This window comes from Homo sapiens, chromosome 2, assembly GCF_000001405.40.
Source record: "Homo sapiens chromosome 2, GRCh38.p14 Primary Assembly".
NCBI lineage: Eukaryota > Metazoa > Chordata > Mammalia > Primates > Hominidae > Homo > Homo sapiens.
This window is the reverse complement of record NC_000002.12, coordinates 96,037,073-96,044,044: the sequence shown is the minus strand read 5'-3', so window position 1 is coordinate 96,044,044 and position 6,972 is coordinate 96,037,073.

Here is a 6,972-nt window from a genome sequence, read left to right as displayed (position 1 = left end):
CATCAATTAATGGGCAAAATAGCCAGCTTACATCATAATGTCAGGATCAAATTCACACATAACAATATTAACCTTAAATGTAAATGGGCTAAATGCTCCAATTAAAAGACACAGACTGGCAAATTGGATAAAGAGTCAAGACCCATCATTGTGCTGTATTCAGGAGACCCATCGCACGTGCAGAGACACACATAGGCTCAAAATAAAGGGATGGAGGAAGATCTACCAAGCAAATGGAAAGGGAAAAAAAGCAGGGGTTGCAATCCTAATCTCTGATAAAACAGACTTTAAACCAACAAAAATCAAAAGAGACAAAGAAGGCCATTACATAATGTGTAAAGGGATCAATTCAACAAGAAGAGCTAACTATCCGAAATACACAGGCACCCAATACAGGAGCACCCAGATTCATAAAGCAAGTCCTTAGAGACTTACAAAGAGACTTAGACTCCCACACAATAATAACTGGAGACTTTAACACCCCACTATCAACATTAGGCAGATCAATGAGACAGAAGGTTAACAAGGATATCCAGGACTTGAACTCAGCTCTGCACCAAGTGGAACTAATAGCCATCTACAGAACTCTCCACCCCAAATCAACAGAATATACATTCTTCTCAGCACCACATCACACTTATTCTAAAATTGACCACATAATTGGAAGTAAAACACACCTCAGCAAATGTAAAAGAACAGAAAGCACAACAAACTGTCTCTCAGACCACAGTGCAATCAAATTAGAACTCAGGATTAAGAAACTCACTCAAAGCCATACAACTACATGGAAACTGAACAACCTGCTCCTGAATGACTACTGGGCAAATAATAAAATGAAGGCAGAAATAAAGATGTTCTTTGAAACCAATAAGAACAAAGACACGATTACCAGAATCTCTGGGACACATTTAAAGGACTGTGTAGAGGGAAATTTATAGCACTAAATGCCCACAAAAGAAAGCAGGAAAGATCTAAAATTGACACCCTAGCATCACAATTAAAATAACTAGAGAAGCAAGAGCAAACACATTCAAAAGCTAGCAGAAGACAACAAATAACTAAGATCAGAGCAGAACTGAAGGAGATAGAGACACAAAAACCCCTTCCAGAAATCAATGAAACTAGGAGCTGGTTTTTTGAGAAGATCGACAAAATAGACCACTAGCAAGACTAATAAAGAAGAAAAGAGAGAAGAATCAAATAGACACAATAAAAAATGATAGAGGGGATATCACCACCAATCCCACAGAAATACAAACTACCATCAGAGAATATTATAAACACCTCTATGCAAATAAACTAGAAAATCTAGAAGAAATGGATAAATTCCTGGACACATACACCTTCCCAAGACTAAACCAGGAAGAAGTTGAATCTCTGAATAGACCAATAACAGGTTGTGAAATTGAGGCAATAATTAATAGCCTACAAACCAAAAAAAGTCCAGGAGCAGATGAATTCACAGCTGAATTCTACCAGAGGTACAAAGAGGAGCTGGTACCATTCCTTCTGAAACTATTCCAAGCAATAGAAAAAGAGAGAATCCTCCCTAACTCATTTTATGAGGCCAGCATCATCCTGATACCGAAGCCTGGCAGAGACACGACAAAAAAAATTGAATTTTAGACCAATATCCCTGATGAACATCGATGCAAAAATCCTCAATAAAATACTGGCAAACGGAATCCAGGCAAACTGAATCAAAAAGTTTATCCAGCACGATCAAGTTGGCTTCATCCCTGGGATGCCAGGCTGGTTCAACATACACAAATCAATAAACGTAATCCATCACATAAACAGAACCAACAACAAAAACCACATGATTATCTCAATAGATGCAGAAGAGGGCTTTTGACAAAATTCAACAGCCCTGCATGCTAAAAACTCTCAATAAACTAGGTATTGATGGAATGTATCTCAAAATAATAAGAGCTATTTATGACAAACCCACAGCCAATACCATACTAAATGGGCAAAAACTGGAAGCATTCCCTTTGAAAACCGGCACAAGAGAAGGATGCCCTCTCTCACCACTCCTATTCAACATAGTGTTGGAAGTTCTGGCCAAGGCAATCAGGCAACAGAAAGAAATAAAGAGTATTCAATAAGGAAAAGAGGAAGTCAAATTGTCCCTGTTTGCAGATGACATGATTGCATATCTAGAAAACCCCATCGTCTCAGCCCAAAATCTCCTTAAGCTGATAAGCAACTTCAGCAAAATCTCAGGATACAAAATCAATGTGCAAAAATCACAAGCATTCCTATACACCAATAACAGACAAACAGAGTGCCAAATCATGAGTGAACTCCCATTCACAATTGCTACAAACGGAATAAAATACCTGGGAATCCAACTTACAAGGGATGTGAAGGACCTCTTCAAGGAGAACTACAAACCTCTGCTCAACGAAATAAAAGAGGACACAAACACATGGAAGAACATTCCATGCTCATGGATAGGAAGAATCAATATCGTGAAAATGGCCATAATGCCCAAGGTAATTTATAGATTCAATGCCCTCCCCATCAAGCTACCAATGACTTTCTTCACAGGATTGGAAAAAACTACTTTAAAGTTCATATGGAACCAAAAAAGAGCCCACACAGCCAAGACAATCCTAAGCAAAAAGAACAAAGCTGGAGGCATCACACTACCTGACTTCAAACTATACTACAAGGCTACAGTAACCAAAACAGCATGGTAGTGGTACCAAAACAGACACATAGACCAATGGAACAGAATGGAGGCCTCAGAAATAACCACACATCTAAAACCATCTGATCTTTGACAAACTTGACAAATACAAGAAATGAGGAAAGGATTCCCTATTTAATAAATGGTGCTGGGAAAACTGGCTAGCCATATGTAGAAAGCTGAAACTGGATCCCTTCCTTACACCTTATACAAAAATTAACTCAAGATGGAGTGAAGACTTAAATGTAAGACCTAAAACCATTAAAACCCTAGAAGAATACCTAGGCAATATCATTCAGGACATAGGCATGGGCAAGGACTTCATGACTAAAACACCAAAAGCAATGGCAACAAAAGCCAAAATTGACAAATGGGATCTAATTAAACTAAAGAGCTTCTGCACAGCAAAATAAACTATCATCAGAGTGAACAGGCAACCTACAAAATGAGAAAAAATTTTTACAATCTACCCATCTGACAAAGGGCTGATATCCAGAATCTACAAAGAACTTAAACAAATTTACAAGAAAGAAACGAACAACCCCACCAAAAAGTGGGTGAAGGATATGAACAGACACTTCTCAAAAGAAGACATTTATGCAGCCAACAGACACATGAAAAAATGCTCATCATCACTGGTCATCAGAGAAATGCAAATCAAATCCTCAATGAGATACCATATCACGCCAGTTAGAATGGCGATCATTCAAAAGTCAGGAAACAACAGATGCTGGAGAGGATGTGGAGAAATAGGAACACTTTTACACTGTTGGTAGGAGTGTAAATTAGTTCACCCATTGTGGAAGACAGTGTGGTAATTTCTCAGGATCTAGAACTAGAAATACCATTTGACACAGCCATCCCGTTACTGGGTATATAACTAAAGGATTATAATAAATCATGCTACTATAAAGACACGTGCACACGTATGTTTACTGCGGCACTGTTCACAATAGCAAAGACTTGGAACCAACCCGAACGTCCATCAGTGATAGACTAGATTAAGAAAATGTGGCACATATACACCATGGAATACTATGCAGCCATTATAAAGAATGAGTTCATGTCCTTTTCAGGGACGTGGATGAAGCTGGAAACCATGATTCTCAGCAAACTATCACAAACACAGAAAACCAAACACCCCATGTTCTCACCCATAGGTGGGAATTGAACAATGAGAACACATGGACCCAGGGCAGGGAACATCACACACCAGGGCCTGTCGGTGGGTGGAGGGCTGGGGGAGGGATAGCATTAGGAGAAATATCTAATATAAATGATGAGTTGATGGGTGCACCAAACCAACATGGCACATGTATACGTATGTAACAAGCCTGCACGTTGTGCACACGTACCCTAGAACTTAAAGTATAAGAATGAAAAAAGAATCAATGTATGATTCTTTAATCCATCATCTGAGCATCCATCTTATAAGGGATCACATTGTTTTTCTCCATATAGTAAGAGTTTTTCCAACAAGAACAGCAACTCTTTCCCACTGACTTGTGATGCACCTTTTATCATAGATGAAATTTCCCTCTAACCAGGGATCTCCCCTCTCCATGCTGAGTTGTCTGTTGGTTCACTGTCACCATACTGCTTAAGACAACAACAGCACCTTTAGAGTGTACCTGAGTATCTGGAAGAGCTTCCTGCCTACCCTCCTTTGGCTTAGGCATCTGTGGACCTTTATCCCTCCTCGCATGATTCAGAGTGAGTTTCTAAAACTGGAATCTTTACTGGGACTACAGTGAAGTGATGGATGAATTGAGGGAGAACTGACATCTCCATATATCAGGCCACCCCTCCCAGGAGCAGGAGATGACTTTACCTGGGGAGTATCTACACCCCCATTCTACTCCCACCTACCAATTAGTCGGCAATTGATGGAGTTGCTCAATCAATGCTAGGGAGCAGATCTCCAGGGAGGAAGACAGAGTGGGCCTGGAATATTCTTCAGCATCACTGCTTCCATTCCCAGCCACGCCTGGCAAGAGGGAGGAAACATCCTGTCACAGAACCTATGTTTTCTGGGTGGACGAAACCAGGTGTCCTGGAGGAAGCAGGTATGGTGGGAAGTTGGGGCAAGGGGCAAGGGGACACAGAGCAACAGAACTTCTGGCTTTCCCTAGCATGGGCCAACCCTCCCGGCCAGCATCATGAGGCGGCACTGGCTGCTTCCCCCTTGTCCCGGGGATTGGGAGGATTGTTGTGCTTCATTCAGCCTGTCTACCTCATGACTTGACTGAGCTACACCTCAACATTGTCAAGTAAGTAGACAGATTATCATCCCCATTCAAGAGAAGAGGAGAAGTCATCTCCTGCTAAGGTCCACAGAGAAGGAAGTTCACTCATTACCTGAAAAACATTTATCCAGACCTCACAGTGCAGCAGCTTCTTGGCCCTGGGATGTGGCAGAGACCAGACAAATGGTCAAATGGATCCAGTCAGCATTAGACACCATGGTGGACATGTTGTTCATGTCAGCCAGCACCATTCCCTGAGAAAACCAACCCCGTGCACTCCGTTTCTCCTAGGCTGGTCAATCATGGTGCCCCCTCACCAAAGACAGGAAAGGGGGCAATGGTGTGGGTCCAGTCACTACATCAGGACATGCCACACCCCCTAGCCACAGGGATTGGTCAAGAGGGTATGAGGACGATCCTTGCAGTACCGGAGTCTTCCCTGGGGTTTCATGTGTATGTTGAGGGACAGAAGTTTCTTCCTACTAAGGTTGATGAGGAGGGTGGATATAAGTCTTGGGCGGTTGGCAGTCAGGTTTTTATAGAAAAGAGCCTTCAGGAAGAACAAAACCAAGCAGAGACAAGCAGTATGGACACATGAGAGAGAACCGGAGGCCTGACAATGTTGCTTTAGCACTTAGGTCCAGCCATGCCTAGAGTTAACACATTCATACTTTCTCGTTATGTGAGCCAACCCATGAGCTTTTGGCTTATGCATACTTGAGTTGGAATAAGTGGAAACAAAGAGTACCACTGGACAGAGCCCCTACCAACAAATCCAACTCTCTGCCCACTCTACGGAACTTTCCCCTCAGGTTCCACCACACTCTTTCAGGTTGGGGCTTATTTTGATCATAATTCCCCTGTTCTCAAATTGTCTTTGAATCCAGATTCTGTCAGTAAGTACCCTTTATTCCTTATTGGTTTATGACATCTGCTAGAAGGCCAAGCCTGCCTTCTGTGTCATCCCCCAAGTTGGTGTTGAAGATACCGATGTGGAGGACAGAACACTGTAGCATGCAGCACCCTCCTCCCTCAGGTTGTCAGCCCTTGAATCTCTCACGCTGTCCCTGGTCTTCACAGAATCCCAGATCCCCAGTATTAGAAAGGATCTCGGGTTCCCCACTCACTCTATCCCAGCCTCTTGGCTCAAGTTTTCATCTATAGAAGTGGTGCCAGCCTTGGCCAGAGGAAAGTGGCATGTGTGGTCAGTGTCTGTTGGCAGCTTCCCAGCATCAATGTTCCCATTCTCCTGCCACTAGCACCCATATTTGACTTCTCCATTCTAGGCTGCCATTTGCTGCAGTGCTTAGCAAGACATTATGGAAGGTTCTGGTATAACGGAAGGGATCTACAACATAGAGTACCACCAATGGTTACCTCTGGAGGTGGCTGTGCTCAGAGCACCTGGGCCTGGGAGGGAAAGGGTGTCTCAGAAAGAGGCATGTCTCCTCCTTTAATCAGGGTTCCTCAGAGATTGGCATTTGAAATCTCCAGACTGAGTAAGGAATATTCACCTTCACCCCACGGGGGCAGACACCATCCAATCAGTCGAGGGCCTGGATAGAACAAAAGGCAATGGAAAAGTGAATTTCCTCATAACCCTAACTAACGGAGGAGACATGCCTCCCTCTGAGACATCCCTTTCCCTCCCAGGCCCAGGTGTTCTGAGCACAGCCACCTTCAGAGGTAACCATTGGTGGTGTCTATGTTGTAGATCCCTATTACTCCGGAATCTTCCATAAAGTCTTGTTCAACATTGCAGCAAACCACAGCATAGAATGGAGAAACAGAACCAAGAATATAGGTAGGGGGATGGACAGATGAGCTTTATTATGGGAATTGGCTCCCGTGATTATGGAAGTTGAAAAGCCCCACCATATGCCTTCTGCAAGCTAGAGAACCAGGGAAGCTGGTGGTGTAGCTCAGTCCAAGTTTGAAGGCCTGAGAACCTGTGGGTGGGGGTGCTGCTGGTCCAAGTTATAGAACCCAAAGCCTGGATCTAATGTCCAAGGGTAGGAGAAGATGGCTGTC